Here is a 17,759-nt window from a genome sequence, read left to right on the forward strand (position 1 = left end):
GCTATGCTGGTCTCTGGGGATAAAGCAGTGAGCAAAAATAGATTGAAAAATGCTGCCCTGGTTGGGCTTCCCTTCTGAAGCACAAATAGGAAGGAGCTAGCAGAGAGGTAAGCATTGAAGGCGTGAGGATGAGCTCTACCTCCATCATCTGTGGACTGCAGCCTGGCACTCCGTAGGCACTTCATAAAGTTAGTTGACTTGTACCTGGAAGAGAGGATGTCCTGGGGAGAAAAATCTCCCCGCAGAGAAGAGACCTGAGGCATGGGGAGAGATTTGCTGCCTAGAAGACAGGTTAGCCTCAGAGAAGGAAAAGTAAATATGGAAATGGAGGGAAGGGTGTTTGAGGGAGTTCTCCTGGGAAGCATTCACTGTTTCTGTAAAGTAGGAATAGGAGGTGAAGTCTGAGTGGGAAAAAGAACTTGAAGTAAGATAAAACATGTGGAACAGCGCCACCCACCCTCCAAAAAAAAAAGAAAGACTGCAAAGAGAACCGGCTGCCAGCCCTAAGAGCTTCACTGAGAGAGGAGATGCGTTATATGTAATTGCAGTGATCTGTGGCTGTGCAGGGGTTTTTTTTCCCCAGCAAGGGAAGGTGAAGAACACAGTTAGTTGGGGTTGGGGTTTGTCTGAGGTTGCGTGAGGATAGGCTTAGAAAGGTAGTGTGGGATAACCAGGGGGCAAGGTCTTTGGAGAATGCTGGTGAATATGCATGACAGTGCGTGTTAGGTTGAGAATAAAAGAACCAGGGGCAGGCAAATGGTCTGAAGAAAAGGAAAAGAAGAAGGAGTCTGGGTTGGAGGAGGTGGGAATTTACATCTTGGAAGGGCTTAAGATAGCACTTCCTGGGGTAAACCCCGGGCAGAGCATTCCTGTGTGCTTTACCTGTGCTAACTCATTTCATCTTCATGAAGACCCTGTGAGCTGGTGCGGAGAGACTGTGTTGCCCGAGGCTACACAGGTAGGAAGTGACCCCGATGGCCTCGGCTGCTGAGCTTCTGTGCTTGGGCATTATGGTATTCTGCCCTAGGAAGAAACCAGACAAAATACTTCTCCCAGGCCAGGTAGCATTGCAGTAGCTTCCTGAAGTTGCTGGGCCAGCTTTCCTTCCAGAAGAAATATTTGGCGTGGTGTGGAAGGGGGCTGTGAACTGTCTCCTCCCTTTTAGAAGAAATATCTGTATTTCAGGTAGCAGTGTCCTTGATACAGAACTCTTAGTTTTCCCCACCTGCTTTGCACATGCTTGAATGTCCTTTAATAGGAAACAAAGATGCCTAACATCTCACAATTGGGAAAGGCTTTAAATGCAATCAGCCTGTGAATTCTCTGAGCTGTAGCAGCTTCTGTGTTTACTTGTCCTCCCCCCACCAATAGAGAAGAAAAGCCAGAGTGGCTGGTCCCTCCACCAGCTTGGGGAAGGGGAGGGGGAGACTTTTAGGCACTGTGGTCCCTAAAAGGAGGCGAACTGGTGTTTCCTGCTACAGAACACTGGTGCATCTGCAGTGGTTTGGGGAGGACGTCTGAGTCCTGTGATGTATCACTCAGGGTCTAGGCCCTTTGTAAACCCAGGGGAGACCTGCTTTAAATTTTGCTGGGAGCCCTCCTTTAAATTTTGCTTGGAGGCCTTTTGGAAGCGCAGAGGCTTTGCAAATGACACATGCAGACAGCTTTATCCTTCTGTGTGAAGAAGAATTATTTGCAGAGACAACAATGTATGTTCATGGTACCTTTTTTGTTTGCATTTTTTAAATGTCTGGCTTTGCTCTTGAGGCAATTTGGAAGGATTGCCACTATATTTTCTTGGATGTAAACAAATTATAATGGTTTTAAAAGAAACAACACACCAAAACCACATCATCTTACATGCCAAGGAAGTTTAGATATTTCAGATATTGAAAATATAGAGCAAATAGATCATCTGGCATTATTTACTGATAATTCTTAGATTAATTCCTGATCCCAGTGTTTTCTTTTGAGGCCACGTGTTTGAAATGTCTAACCTGCTGGGACCTTTCCAGCTCTGCTTGATTCACTATTAGGGACTAGCTTTTTTGCCTTTGTCGTCTTCTCTTTTTTTTAATTTATTAGAGACAGGGCTTTGCTCTGTCACCCAGGCTGGAGTGCAATGGCACGATCTTAGCTCACTACAGCCTCAAACTGGAGCCAAACAATACTCCTGGGTTAGCCTCCCAAGTAGTTAGGACTACAGGTGCACACCACCACACCTGGCTAAATTTTTCTGTAGAGACGGGGCCTTGATATGTTGCCCAGGCTGGTCTCAAACTGCTGACCTCAGGCAATCCTCCTGCCTTTGCCTCCCAAGGTGCTGGGATTATAGGCATGAGCCACCATCCTCAGCTTTATTTTGTTTTGTTTTGTTTTGTTTTGTTTTTTGAGACGGAGTCTCGCTCTGTCGCCCAGGCTGGAGTGCAGTGGCGCAATATCAGCTCACTGCAAGCTCCACCTCCCAGGTTCACACCATTCTCCTGCCTCAGCCTCCCCAGCAGCTGGGACTACAGGCGCCCGCCACCACGCCCAGCTAATTTTTTTTGTTTGTTTGTATTTTTAGTAGACGGGGTTTCACCGTGTTAGCCAGTATGGTCTCAATCTCCTGACCTCGTGATCCGTCTGCCTCAGCCTCCCAAAGTCCTGGGATTACAGGTGTGAGCCACCGCGTCCAGCCTTTTTTTTTTTTCTTTTTAATACACTGCTAGGTTGGCCCATAGTGCATCATATTGTTAACACCTTTGATTTTAAAAATTGCTTACCTCTAATGGATTTTTTTCTTTTTTTGAGACAGGGTCTCAGTCTGTTGGAGTGCAATGTCACAATCTCAGCCTCAACCTACCGGGCTCAAGCAGTCCTTCCATCTCAGCTACCAGAGTAGCTGGGGCTACAGGCTCCACCACCATGCCTGGCTAATTTTTTTGTAGAGGTGGGGCTTTCTAATGGATTTTTAATAATGTGATCTTCTTCTATCACATGTTAAATCCTAATAGTTACTGGTACTTAATAGATCTAGAGGTAAAAACCAGATAACCCACCACTGAATAAATGAGTGCCTCAGTGGTCCAGGACCCTAAAACTGGGCCTCGTTGGAGTCTCTAGGACTTGTTGGCACCTTTATTTGGAAGTCAGGGTAGAAAAAACAGCTTATTTGTTCATTTCTTTCTCCTAGAATATTTCTATTCTCCTGAGGCAGGGATGAGTTGGTTGCTCATTTTTAGATTATGGAACTCTTGCTGATGTTTTTTTCTGGAACTCTTGCTGATGTTTTTTTCTGGTTTCCCTTTGTTTGGGTCGGGGCAGTGATAGGGCAGATGTGGTTCAGGCTCGCAGTTATGACCTGTACTCTGCAGTAGCTTCTCTCTGAGGTTCTGTGTAACCAAATTTTAAAACATTGCTCTGAGTCATGCTGAGTTTTTCCATAAGGCTCTGGTCGGGGGGAAGGGACATGAACTGATTCATTAAGTGCCTATTATGCTGCACACACTTCCATTACCTCATTTAGTCCTCCCAACAACCTGATGTGGAGGATGGTTTTATCTTCATAAGAAAAAAGGAGTGCTGACAGCTCAGTGACCAGGCTGCAGCCATGTACACATGAGGAGGTGGAGGAACTGGGTGCTGTAACTCCACCAAAATTTTCTTCTCTTCCCAAGCTGCCTTAAACACAGTGCAGAGTGATTTGCTAATTGATTGGTTGAATCCCTGTATTATAAAGTGGAGTGTCTTAAAATATGGATGCAGATGACGGGAACAGCTTGCTGGCTTTATGGTGTCCTCAGCACTGCATTCATGATAAACAACAGGAGAATGAGACTGTGCTGATCGTGTGCAGAATAGGAGGTCTTTGGGAGCATCCCTGGCTGGCTGCTGAAAGGTGTTTTTCTTGTTTTTTTTTGAGACAGAGTCTCACACTGTTGCCCCTCGCTGGAGCGCAGCACATGGCTTGATCTCAGCTCACTGCAACCTCCACCTCCCGGGTTCAAGCGATTCTCCTGCTTTTCAGCCTCCCAAGTAGCTGGGATTACAGGTGCCTGCTACCACACCCAGGCTGATTTTTTGTATTTTTAGTAGAGACGGGGTTTCACTATGTTGGCCAGGCTGTTCTCAAACTCCTGACCTCATGATCTACCCCCCTCGGCCTCCCAAAGTGCTGAGATTACAAGCATGAGCCACCGCACCCAGCCGAAAGGCGTTTTTCTTTTTCTTTTTTTTTTTTTTTGAGACAAGTCTTGTTCTGTTGCCCAGGTTGGAGTGCAGTGGTGCGATTCATAGTTCAGTGCAGCCTCGACCTTCTGGGCTCAAGCTGAGATCCTCCTGTCTCAGCCACGCAAGTAATTGGGACTACAGGCATGAGCCACCGTGCCTGGCTAATTAAAAAAAACTTCTTTTAACAGAGACAGGGTCTCCCTGTGCTGCTCAGGCTGGTCTTGAACTCCTGGGCTCAAGTGATTCTCCCACCTCAGCCTCCCAAAGCGCTGGGATTACAAACATGAGCCACCATGCCTGGCCCATTTTTTCTTTTTAAGCAACATGACAGATTAACTAAAAAAGAAAAATCACTGAATGGTTAAAAAGTTTACTTCAGGTGATTAATTGAAAAACCAATTGATTAATAAAGACATTTTTAAAGGATCTAAACTGTATTGAGTTTAAGTTGTAATTCTTAAAGCATAATCAGAAGGCTTATCAAAGCTATAACGAAGAAAATAGAAGTCATTTGTAATTAGACAATAATTAAAGGCAAGTACATGCCCAGTGATTTTAAAGTGCTTGAAAACAATTAGTTTTCTTAAGTAGGTTAAATATCTGGGTTACAAGCTTGTTTACACTATTAATTTACTTAGCAAACCTGTTCTTCATAGATGATGCAAAGTTGAATTTTAGTTTGGCCGTCTGAATTATTACAAGTTCTAACTTAACAGATATTCTTTAAAAAATACATTTTTACATTAATTCTTTTTAATTTTAAAAGCATTCTTCTTTTCTCTCTCTTTTCCTTCCTGAACAGTTCAGTCCTAGAGGCTATTAAGTGGGCTCAGCAAGGTGTTGGCCTGGCCAGGGGTATCAGAGCCTGAGTAGGATGAGGAGGGAGGGTCTGGTGTGCTGTGTCAGAGCCCAGGAGAGGTGAGAAGGGCATCCATTGCTTCTGGGATGCCCTTCCTGTATTGATTGGTTGAATATAGGAGGATTGATGAAATAAGTATGTTCAGGATAATGGCCCCCAGCAGCTCTCACTGTTGAAGAACATTACAGATATTGGAAAGGAGACAGCTAGAATTAACCCTGTGATGCTAGATCGGAATCAGAAGTATTGGTGTGAATGCCTGGATTTTAATAAGGACCGATAAAAATAGCAATAAAATCTTTGCAAAAGGCATGCATGCATGTGTATTTATATGCATATGTGTGTGCACATACATACGCACATCTGTTTCCTAGTTCTGTTGGTAGTAGAGGGGGAGGGTGCCTGGGAACAGCAGTATTCCAATAGCAGTGAGTGTATCAGGTTTCTAGATCTTGGCTTCTATATCCCATTTTCCACTAAAAGGAACCCCAGCTGCTTGGAGAAATGGCTGATTATAGGATTGGAGCAGGAATGTTTAACATGAGCCTGGAACATCTTGGGTTAGAAAGCAAAGAAGTCTTCAAAGAGTGATGAAAACATGCCAAAAGGACCCAGAGTCAGTTTGAAGCGGTTCCCACTGGCCAAATCTGAGTTTATTTCAAAATTTAAGAAGTGATAGTCATGGATTAGAACCTGCTGAGTAAAAAAGAAAACTAAGAGTTCTCACACAGCTTCACCTACTTTGTAAGAAAACCTATGTACGGACTTATCAGTAAATTCAGCATTTGAAGAATGGGTTCTCTAAATTTCAAAGTACTTCTTCAAAAATACTTAATGATTACAAAGGAGAAAAAGAGCAACTTTCCAATGGAGAGGCCTGGCAGATGCCACCTTAACCAGGTAATCCCAGCAGTGGAACAAATTGAAATCATGCCACCTGCTAGGATGCAAAGAGAACACACCATTCCCTCTGCAGTGTTCCTGCCAAGGCACATGACCTCAATCTAATTATGAGGAAATGATAGGCAAACCTGGTTGGAGTGACATTCTACAAAATAACTGGCCTGTAATCCTCAAAAATTTCAGGGTCATGAAAGTCAAAGCAAGACCAAAGAATGATTCTAAACCGAAGGAGACTAAAGAGACATGTCAACTAAATGCAATATGTGATTCTGACCTCGATCTTTTTACTATAAAGGCTATTGCTGGGACAGGTGACGAAGCTTACATGGGGCTTGAGGATTTAATGATAGAAATGTATCAGCGTTAATGTTCTGATTTTGATGGTTGTATTATGGTTATGTAGGACTGTGGTTTGGTTTTTGTTGTTGTTGTTTTTCTTTTGAGACAGAGTCTGGCTCTGTCGCCCAGGCTGGAGTGCTGCAGTGGCACGATCTCAGCTCACTGCAACCTCCGCCTTCTGGGTTCAAACGATTCTCATGATGCCTCATCCTCCCTACTAGCTGGGATTAAGGCATGTGCCACCATACCCGACTAATTTTTGTATTTTTAATAGAGATTGGGTTTCACCATGTTGGCCAGGCTGGTCTTGAACTCCTGACTTCAAGTGATCCGCCCGACTCGGCCTCTCAAAGTGCTGGGTTTACAGGTGTGAGCCACAGTCCCTGGCCTAGTGATTTGGTTTTGTTTTTTGGGAAAACACATACTAAAGTATTCAGGGTGACAGGGCCTCAAGTTGACAACTTCCCCTCAATGGTTCTGGGGAGAGACAGTTCTTGGTACTATTCTTGCAAATTTACATAAGTTTGAGATTGTTTCAAAATTTTAAAATAATTTAAAAAGTAATATTCTTTTTTTTTTTTTTTTTTTTTTTTGAGACAAGAGCTTCACTCTTGTTGCTCAAGCTGAAGTACAGTGGCATGATCTCGGCTCACTACAACCTCTGCCTGCCGGGTTCAAGCGTTTCTCCTGCCTCAGCCTCCCGAGTAGCTGGGATTACAGGCGTGCACCCCCACGCCCAGCTAATTTTTTGTATTTTTAGTAGAGACGGGGTGTCATCATGTTAGCCAGGCTGGTCTCTAACTCCTGACCTCAGGTGATCTGCCCGCCTCGGCCTCCCAAAGTGCTGGGATTACAGGCGTGAGCCACCGCGCCCGGCTAAAAAGTAATATTCTTGCCTAAAATTTAAATCATGAGAAGTACATAAAATTAAATGTTCCCTATTTCTTATTTTAGCCTCCCCTTTTAAGCATTTTATTTATGTATGTATGAATGTATATGTAATATATGTTGTAGGTCATATTGAGTATTTATGATATGCTAGGCACAGGCACACTGTATTCCTGGGAATTACAATGGTCATCAGTCAAAACCCCTGCCACTAGAGCTGCATGGCCTTGTGTTATTTGGAGAAGCCATCATTTCTTTAAGTTCCCTCTCATGAGAGGCAGTGGAATGTGATGGTGGTGGGAGCTCAAGCTCTATATTCGTATCCCAGCCCTGCCAGCAACTGTGCTGAAATCTTACTCAACTTCACTGTGCCTCCGCCTCCTTATCTGCAGGCTGGAGATGTGTCTCATCCCCATTTAACAGAGCTGTTGTGAGCATCACACGTGGTGATACACGTAGGGTGCTATACTTGTGGGTGGCACATGGCAAGCACCTGGTAAATGGTAGCTCCCACTGAGGGACGTTTAGGTTATCATTCGTACTTTTATAAATCTAAAAATTGCCTTGTATACATTTTTGCACACTTACACTTTAGAATCTTTAAAAAAAATTTGGCTACCTTTCTGTTGTGAAGTTTTGCTTTTAGTGGCTTTGTTAGAGTGCTGTGAAAAACTAGATGGAGAATAGGGAACATGTCTCTGAAAGTCTGTGCCATATAGGGCTGGAACTTGAGCAGTATGAGATAAATACTGGCTTATTTTCAGATTTTTCTCTGCTCAAGGGTTGGCCTACTAAAGTTGTTTTTATGTGGTGTTTGGTGCATTTTCTTTTTCTTTTTCTTTTTTGTTTTTTTTTTGAGACAGGGTCTCACTCTGTCACCCAGGCTGTAGTGCAGTGGCATGATCATGGCTCACTGCAGCCTCGACCTCCTGGACTCAAGTGATCTTCCCACTTCAGCCTCCTGAGTAGCTGGGACTACAGGCGTACTCTACTACACCTGGCTAATTTTTTATTTTTTGAAGAGACAGGGTCTCGCTGTGTTGCCCAGGCTGGTGGGACTCAAGCGATCCTCCCACCTCGGCCTCTTGAGTAGCTGGGATTAGAGTTGTGAGCCACCACACCCAGCCTCCATTTTCAAATACAGGTTGAGAATCCCGAATCTGAAAATCCAAAATGCTCTACAACCCAAAATGCTCCAAAATCTGAAACTTTTTGAGCACCAGCACGATACTGAGAGTGCTCATTGGAGTATTTCGGATTTCAGATTTTCAGATTCAGGATGCTCAACCAGTAAATTTCATGCAACTATTTCAGAATCCGAAAAAGTTTGAAACACTTCTGTTCCCAGACATTTCAATAAGGAATACTCAATTTGTAATACCATTTTAGAATAGTTAGGCGAGCTTTGCTCAGGTTTGAAAGGGTCACGTAATGTTAATCACTAGGAAATACTTTTGTCTCAAGTAGTGTAAGCCAAGAAAATACTGTCTTGAGAACTTTGCCTGATGAGCTTTGAATGTCAGAGAAAGGAATAATATTAATTCCTACTTCTAGTTGAGTTAAAGTCATTTAATTTGATGTTTTGTTTCTGTATACCCTGCTTGAAAAACCAGAATAGGCTTTTAAAACCTCTAAATGTGTATGTGTTGTTGTTGTTTTTTTGTTTTTTTTTTTTTTGCCTTTGGCAGACCTGTTTTGCAAATGACCAACTTTCTATATGAGTTTTTAACAAGAATGTTGCCACTTGTTACTTTTCACATTTGAAAGAATCAAATAACTTATTTTTAGGGTATTATAATTACAAATAGATTGTGGTTTTCTGCAGTCAGTGGAGGAATGTAAATAAACCATTGCTGCTGTAACTATATATAAACGCATGTAGGACAGGAGATGTGCTTGAAAACTGTGAAGCAAAAAGGAGTCCATCTTTCAGAAAGAGACAACCCTTTTCTTTAAGATAAATCCGATTTATGTGTTGTCTTAAGATAACGAATGACTTGTTTCTCAGTTTTGAAATACATAGCCCACAGTGTTGGATCAACACCTTCATAGCTTCACGAAGACCAAAATATTTCCTCTGTGTCCCTGGCCACAGGGATCCCTAGTCCTTGAAGGTGTATCAGAGGAGTCCATGTGTCGAGTGCCTGCTGGAAGAGGGCCAGGAGTAGACTGCGTGGAGGGGATAACTGCAGGTGGAAGGAGCTCTGCTCTTGACCGTTTACCTCAGAGTCTGCACTACTGGGTATCTCCAAAGTTACAGCTTGTCAGCATTGCTTCCATCCGTCTTATTTCCACACATTTTGTCTTTTCTTGCTAGCCCTTTCCTTCTCGCCCAGGTTTTCACTAATGTTTGATCTAACACACTGAATTTAGTGAGGAGGACTTCAGGCCATTGTCTTAGACTATGATAAGGCCAAGTTCTGTGTTGAATGGGCTTCAGCCTTGCAGGTTGCATTAGCTCAGTAGCAGGTTTCAAAAAATGCTGGCCACTGATCATCAGCCTGTCTTGTTGAGTATAGTAGAGAGAAGTAGTTATTGGTGATCACATGTTGGTGAGCAAACTTAACTGGTAGCTCAAAACATATTTTTGGTTCTAAGCTATGGGTGCTTCCCAGCCAGGTGTCAGGACACTCTGCAAAGACCTAATATGTCACAGCATGCCAGGCTTACCCCTGTCCAGGGTCTGGCCCACCCCCTTAATGGATTCCCACCAGGGTTGTTTCTGGTTCTATGACCCACTTTGCTCTTTCCATCATTTCATGTCCTGCCATTTGCCCTTCCGTAACAAAAGTCACCTTCATGAGAGTACTCCTTGCGTCTGCTTTAATCTCTTCCAGGTATGTCATAAAAATGCAAAAATGTACAAATTTTGTACATTTGGGTGCTATTTGGGTGGGGAGATGGAGAGAAGGAAAACTGAAGAAGGTAAAATAGAATTGGGAAAACAGCCTAAAAAACTCTTTGATTACTTTGATAGATACCACTTATGGTAATTCTTTAGTTATAATAAGCTCTGTATTTAAAATGAAGTTTTGAGACCAAGTGTTTTCTTTCCTTATACAGCCTGAGGTTCAGTCATCAGAACAGAATCGTGTGGTGAGGCCTTCTGCTTCTGCCAATTTTGTTTTGTTTTGTTTTCATTTCCTGCCACATGGCAGGTGCTGCTGAGAAGTACCTTCAGGAACCACTGAATATTCTAGCCCCATCTTTCTAAGGGTTCGGTGATGTAGAATGCTAAAAGGGTTCGGGCTGTTAGTCAGAGAGGGAGGAGGGTGTCCAGCATCGGCGTGGGCCTCTAGTTGTTCTTTTATTGCCCTTTATGATGTGTCTATTTTGCTTTTTCTTTCCTCCTTCAGTTTTCCTTCTCTCCATCTCCCCACCCAAATAGCATCACCTTCCTCAGCCCTCTACTTTTCATCCCTATTCGCTTCTTAATAAATAAAAGCGAATCAAAAAGACAGCAAAGAGAAAGGAGAAACATTTTATAATGCAGAGTTTTGAGCAAAATACTTAACTCTGTGTCTTTATATGCCACCACATCTCTTTAATTTTTAGAGGATATGAATATTTTGTCGTTTGTATTTCATAAGCCATCTGTACTGTGTTCAGACTCTGTGGGTTCTTTGTTGTTTAATTATAGGAAAAGGAGGTATAGGGCAGGAACTTTTTACATACTTGTGAATTTTGGTCAGTCCTGTGAAATGTAAGCCTCTGGCATTTATTCACGGACCATTGGGATAAACCAGGCATGTAGGTTCAATTTTTTTTGCCTTTGTTGGGATGCTGTGGCCAGTAGCCAGGGCCAGTCATTCCAGATTCATCCCCTGCCACTCTAGTCCCCAGGGACTAACAGAGTCCAGACAGTGTACATTTTCCTGGCTACGGGCTTGACCTTCTGCTTCCTCTGTCCCACTGCATTCCAAAAATGCTAACAAGTGACTAGCGAGCGTAAATTTTATGTGTTGCAAAAGCAGTTGTGGAACTTGGGTTTCAATGTTTGCACCACTATTTGTAAGCAGGATGTTATCTCTAAATGATACATGTGTAACTGACCCAGGGGGGCTGCCTGGCCTCCTTGATGCTCTTCTGTGAGAATAATTGACTCTGGTAGTGACAGAGCTGCCTGCGGCTACTAAGAAGCTCTGCTGTACTTAGGCCACCTGCCATTGTTCTGTCTCTGCTGCTGCTGCTGCTTTTTCTATTTTTAATAAGTTGCCAATTACTTGGTTTTTATAGTGATACCAACAGTTCACTAAAATGGGCATAGGAAAAATGTAGTTGGTTTCTAACCTTCAATTTCACTTATCCAGTGAAATTAATGACATTAAACACTTTCATCAGTTATTATTGTGAAAGTACAGGTACATTTTTATCTTACTGAACATCATGGTTTAGTTTTTCCATTTTGAAGACAGTATACAACTATGTAGCTAAGAGCAGTTTGCCTAACATATGTTAATTTTCACAATGATAATCTCAGGTGTGTTCCACAGATGTGATCTAATAAATTGATCAACTGTTCCTGACCACTACTGGGCCACACTGGAGTGTGCTGAGTTCCCACCTCATAGTGAAAATTGTCAGGATCTTTTGTCTGTTGCATTCACTGATTACCTCAAGCACTTAGTAGAAGTTTAATAAATATTTGTAGCATTGTAGTAAGCAAACAAATGTAATTAAGTAGATGGTGTTCACAGATTATCCATTAATATAAGGTGAGACCAAAGTTTTGTGCACCAGTACTGAAAAGGGATTACTTGGTATTGGCTAAGGTCAGAAGATTACTGGTATTCTAGATATGCTGATTCTGTGGCTTATAGATTAAGAAAGAATTTAGATATATATTAATGTAATTACTGAAAATCACTAGAATGGTTCACTGTTGGTTTGTCCATAGAAACACTAATCATCATCAACCTAGAAGCTTTGGGATCTAGGTGAAGTCCATTACTGAATCTTGAAAATGAGTCATTAATCTGAAAATTGACAGTTAAGCATTGAGCATTTTTAAGAAAGTAATTGAAAAAATATCTGGAAACTACCACTGCCTAACAGTAATACTAGTTTTATGACATTCTTGGTTTACTGTATTATCTAATTACTTTAAAAATGTAATTGAAAGTGTTGAGTGTTTATCATCTGGAGAGCATTTTATTATAAATTAATCAGAACAGTAGTTTTGAATCCACAAGTGCAGTAAGTTTCAATGCTACTTTGATTGGCAGAACCCACCAAGTGAATTTAGGCAGCCAGAAGGGATTTTGATTATTGGGAAAGTCTTTTTGGGTTCTGAGGTTAAGGTGGATTTTATTCTTCTCATCTGTCATGACGAAGGGGTGATCCACGCAATAGTACTTAAGAAATAATGCAGTAGAGCCACATGCTGGCTTCCGTTTCCAGAGCTGCCTCCTGGGCCTTTACCTCTTTAAGCCTCAGTTTTCTCAACTGTACAGTGAGCTTCATAGAATTTTCCTCAGGAAAGTGAGGTTTACACATTTAGGGAAATGTCCAACACATAATGAGCCCAGAAATATATTTTTTTAATTTTTTATTTTTTGTTTTTTTGAGCATGGACATATTAGATATTAATATAGTTACTAAAATATCTGATTTCTGTATGAGATGCTCATTAAAGAACTTATTGGTGTAAGTATATGATTGGGTACTGTTTCTAAAGATCAGCAAAGTTTTGTCTTTTTTATTTAAACGATTCCCTGCTTAAGAATATAATTTTTAAAAGTATACCATTATAGTACCAAGAGAAAATACTAGAAATGTGGGACCAGACCTGACAAGACCTTCATGGGAGAAAATGTAAAATTATATCAGAAGACATTAAACTAACATCTAAATAGACAGAGCTTTGTCATGTTCATGGTTAAGAAGGCTCAATTATTTTTAAAAATGTCAATTCTTCTTGAATTGGTATATAAATTCAAAGTAATTCCCATAAAAACGCCATGCTTTTTTTCTGAAACTTGATAAGATGATTTTAAAATTTATATGGAAAAGAGAAATGACAGGAACAACAAGTGGGAGGATTTAACCTGCTAGATCCCTTGCCGTAAAGCTGTAGTAACGAAGAGCAGTGTGGTGTAGATGCAGGGGCTGAGGTGGGTCAGCGCGTAAGTGGGAAGCCTAGACAAGACCGCCACGCGTACATGGAATCTTGCTCTGTGGCGGAACTGGCCTGACAGTAGGGAGAGGCGACAGGTGACACTGCAGTTTAGTTGGGGAAATAATGGACTTTTCGACAAGTGCTCTGGGATACTTCATATGGATTGCGTTAGTCTCTTAGGGCCGCCGTAACAAAATACCACAAACTGAATGGCTTAAAACATCGGACGTTTATTCTCTCACAGTTCTGGAGGCTAAAAGTCCAAAATTACTCGACCTCCGAAGGCTCTAGGAAGAATTGCTCCCCATCTCTTCCTAGCCTCTGGTTGCTGGCAGTCCTTCACGTTCATGCCTTAGAGCTGCATCACTTCAGTTTCTGCCTCTGTCTTCACATGAATGTCTTTGCCTTGTAAGGATCAAGTCATACACCACATACAAAAATAAATACCAAATGGATTCAGATAAATATGAAAAAAATTATTTCTAGAAACAAATATGGAAGAATATTTATGACCTTGGAGCAGGGATGATTAAACAGGATAACATGGCTGGGCGCTGTGGCTCACGCCTATAGTTCCAGCACTTTGGGAGGCTGAGGCAGGAGGACTGCCTGAGCTCAGAAGTTCGTGGGCACCTCTACTGTGGTCACACCACTGCACCCCAGCCTGGGCGATGGAGTGAGACCCTGCCTCAAAAAAAAAAAAATATATATATATATATATATATATATGTATAATAAAATAAACGTAACAAGAATGAAAAAGTTGATACATGTTCATTATATCATGATAAGAACTTAAAGTCACCAAATGACATTATGGCCAAAGTGAGAGACAAGCTAGGAGAAGATATTTTCAGTACCTGTGATCAACAGAGGATTTATATCCAGAATACAATGCAGAACTCCTACTAATCAATAAGAAAAAGACCTAGTAGAAGAAAAAAATGCTCAAAAGAAACATAGAAATTTCACAGTAGAGAAAATCCAAATGGCCAATAAATGTGGAGGGGGAAATACAACTTAATTAGTAATCAAGGAAATGCTAGTTAAACCACAATGAGGTCCCATTTTATACTCATAAAATTGGCAAAAATTAAAAGAATTAAGAAAATACCGGCCAGGAGCAGTAGCTCACACCTGTAATCCCAGCACTTTGGGAGGCTGAGGTGGGCAGATCACGAGGTCAGGAGATAGAGACCATCCTGGCTAACACGGTGAAACCCCATCTCTACTAGAAAAATACAAAAAATTAGCCGGGCATGGTGGCGGGCGCCTGTAGTCCCAGCTACTCGGGAGGCTGAGGCAGGAGAATGGCGGGAACCCGGGAGGCGGAGCTTGCAGTGAGCTGAGATGCGCCCGTCTCTCCAGCCTGGGCAATAGAGTGGGACTCCATCTCAAAAAAAAAAAAAAAAAAAAACAAAAAAACAAGAAAAAAACAAGTTTTGGTGTGGTTATGGAATAGCAGGAGCTTTTACTTTTCTGGTGGGAGTGTAAATTGTTGAAACCACTTTGGAAAAGAGTGTAGCAATGTCTAGTAAAGTTGGAAAACATGGACACTCTATGAGCCAGCAGTTTCAGTTGTGGGCTGGTAACCTACCCCACAGAAGAGCTGTATGCATGTACAGGAGGCATGCCCTAAGATGTCTGCAGCAATGTGGCTTGTCCTGGCAAAAATTGGAAACCTTAATGCCCATCAGTAGGCAAATGTATAAATACAGCGTGGTACTCTTTACATTTACATGAATTTTAGGGACATAGCATTGTGTGAGAAAAACAAGTTGCAGAAGAATAAAGTAATAAAATTCCACTTAAGAAACTCAGAAATACAACTGAAATGTTGTTTAGGTTACCAAGCATGGTGTGGTCAATCAAGGGAGTGCTAAGTTAAGGGGAAGTTAACGCTTGTGGAGTAGGGAAAGGTGGGATTATACAGGGGGCTTCTGAGTACCGGAAAGGTTATTCCTTAAGCTGAGTGGAGGGTATATAAAAGTTATTTTGTATGTATTAAATATGTAATAAAAATTTTTCTCCAGAAGTTTTATTATTTTTTAAGAGTGGAAAAATAACACAAATGTCATCTCCATCCAAAAAGTAATTCAGGCACTGAGTACTTATTTTTAAATGCGTTTTGAATTCTTTGCCAATGAGAGATGCCTGAAACACGGAAAGGAAAGACCTAGTGATCCTTGTTTGTCCCATGACATTGGCATTGAGAGGCGTCTGCCTCTGTAGACATGACAGTGTATCTCAAGAGCAGCCTGAAGGAGGTTTTAGTGGCATGTGAAAGCACCGTCAACATTTTTATCAGAGCAACAATATGCCTATCCCCTGTTCATTTTATTATTATTATTATTTTTTGGCAACTAAGTAATTGAGCCAGATGGAAAATGTTTCCCACATTAGGTTCTCTTTCAGCTTTCATGCATGTCAGCCATTTAATTTTGCTGTTCCTAATCTCCTAATGATAAGACTTCAAAATGTGAATAATTGGCTAAGAGAGTCCAATTTATTCTCTAGAACAGAAACTTCTAAAGATAGCTTATACCTGCCCCCTTTCTACCAATATCCATTTAGTTAATGGATAGTAAGAACAAAATAATAAAACCAGCTTTTATTTCTTCCTAGCCTGTCTGAACATGCAGTCATCTGGTTGGTTAGCAGTTGAAAAGGCCCAAACCTTTATCTCACCATAAGAACATGGGCTTGGAAATCAGACAAACAAACCTAGATTCACGCCTCATCTCTGCACTTACTATGAGTAAAAACTCTGTAATTTACTTAAAGGCTCTGAACCTCGGTTCAGGACATGGTGGTAGTTCTGCCCCTGGCTTCCCAGAATGGTGGCATTCTTACGCTAACCTGCCATGGCATGCATAAGAAGCATACCCCCAGTGAGAGGATCCCCTGCTGCAGTCACTAGTTGTGTATCTCAAGAGATTTTCACTTGAATACTCTGAGCCTCGGTTTCCTCATTTGCAAAGTGGGAAGAAAGACTTCCACCTCTCTGGGATAAAGAGAATGCAGGCCAGGCGCAGTGGCTCACGCCTGTAATCCCAGCACTTTGGGAGGCTGAGGTGGGTGGATCACGAGGTCAGCAGTTCAACACCAGCCTGGCCAAGATGGTAAAACCCAGTCTCTACTAAAAATACAAAAATGAACCGGACATGGTGACAGTTGCCTGTAATCCCAGCTACTCTGGAGGCTGAGGCAGAGAATTGCTTGAACCCAGGAAGCGGAGGTTGCAGTGAGCTGAGATTGCATCGCTGCACTCTAGCCTGGGTAACAGAGTGAGACTCTGTCTCAAAAAAAAAAAAAAAGAGAGAATGCAGATGTGAACACATGCATACTTGGTGACCTGCAAACTGCAGGCCTGCATCACCACTGTTGGAGACCTTGTACCCTTGCTTGTGGGATGCCCGCCTTGTGCCTTCCCCCCAACCCCCAGGCTGCTAGAGACCTCGCTTCCTTCCCCCACCTGAAAGGGTTTAACTATAAAACAGAGATAGAAATATCTGTGGTACAAGTTCACTACACAGATCAAGTAGTCAAGTGAGATGAGACAGACAGTGAGTAAGAAAAAGCTGTTGTCTCTCAGATTCTGTGGGAATATAGGCACAGATGATGCTCATCCTAACACCAGGCATTGGCCCCCTCACTGAGCAAGCCTGGTAATGTTATTTGTTCAACATGCAAAATTTGATCTTTAAAAAACAGCTTTGAAAGTAACATGGCTTGGACAGTCTTTTTCTTAAAATTGGTAAGGGAGTTTGTATATCAGTTTCTGCTTCTCTATTCATTGAAAACTGTTAACACTTTGGTAAAAATTATTTTCTTTACCATTTTATACGCACAGCTTTCAGTTGTTAACACTGGTGTAGAATCTAAACTCATTTACACTATTTAAGTTTGCCCCTTTGACTGCAGTGGAGACGGTGTTAGGGCTTAAATAAAGACTGGCTTCAGAAACTATTAACATATTGTTGGTAGCAAACATTCATTGATAACCGTCTTTCCTAGAACTTAATTAAATTGTAAGGAAAATATTCTTTACCTGTCACCTTAGTCCAGGAACCTGGAAATATGCTTGACCAGAGTTTCAAAACCTTGGAAATGACATTTGGGGCTGGGTAATTCTTTGTTGTGGGGGCCATCCAGTGCCTTGTAAGGTGTTTAGCAGCCTCCTAAGCCTTCTACCCACTAGATGCTATTAGCACCCTGCCACCTCAGTCATGACAAACAAATGTCTCTATATATTGTCAGATGTCTCCTGAAGGGCAGAATCATCCTTGCTGAAAACCACTGTCTTACACTCTTCTTTTTCACTTCCCTCCCACATTTAGTCAGTTACCAGCCCTTTTAATACTGCTTCCTGAATATCTTAGTGAGATTTCTTCTTCATCTTCTTCTTCTTTTTTGAGACAGGATCTTGCTTTGTCATCC

General features: G+C 41.8%; 1 protein-coding gene across 3 annotated transcripts in view, besides 2 other annotated features; it reads left to right on the forward strand.

The window, feature by feature from the left end:
* TNRC6B (trinucleotide repeat containing adaptor 6B) overlaps positions 1-17,759 on the forward strand; it is a 290,975-nt gene that overhangs the window by 148,563 nt on the left and 124,653 nt on the right. The window lies entirely within an intron of this gene.
* Positions 1,886-2,420: an enhancer, noted in NCBI's record as "NANOG-H3K27ac-H3K4me1 hESC enhancer chr22:40591286-40591820 (GRCh37/hg19 assembly coordinates)". NCBI's record gives its function as "activates a minimal SCP1, AML or CMV promoter by ChIP-STARR-seq in primed H9 embryonic stem cells {active_cell/tissue: H9 hESC(primed)}" and the evidence as "EXISTENCE:reporter gene assay evidence [ECO:0000049][PMID:30033119]".
* Positions 2,421-2,953: an enhancer, noted in NCBI's record as "NANOG-H3K27ac-H3K4me1 hESC enhancer chr22:40591821-40592353 (GRCh37/hg19 assembly coordinates)". NCBI's record gives its function as "activates a minimal SCP1, AML or CMV promoter by ChIP-STARR-seq in primed H9 embryonic stem cells {active_cell/tissue: H9 hESC(primed)}" and the evidence as "EXISTENCE:reporter gene assay evidence [ECO:0000049][PMID:30033119]".

This window comes from Homo sapiens, chromosome 22, assembly GCF_000001405.40.
Source record: "Homo sapiens chromosome 22, GRCh38.p14 Primary Assembly".
NCBI classification, from domain to species: domain Eukaryota; kingdom Metazoa; phylum Chordata; class Mammalia; order Primates; family Hominidae; genus Homo; species Homo sapiens.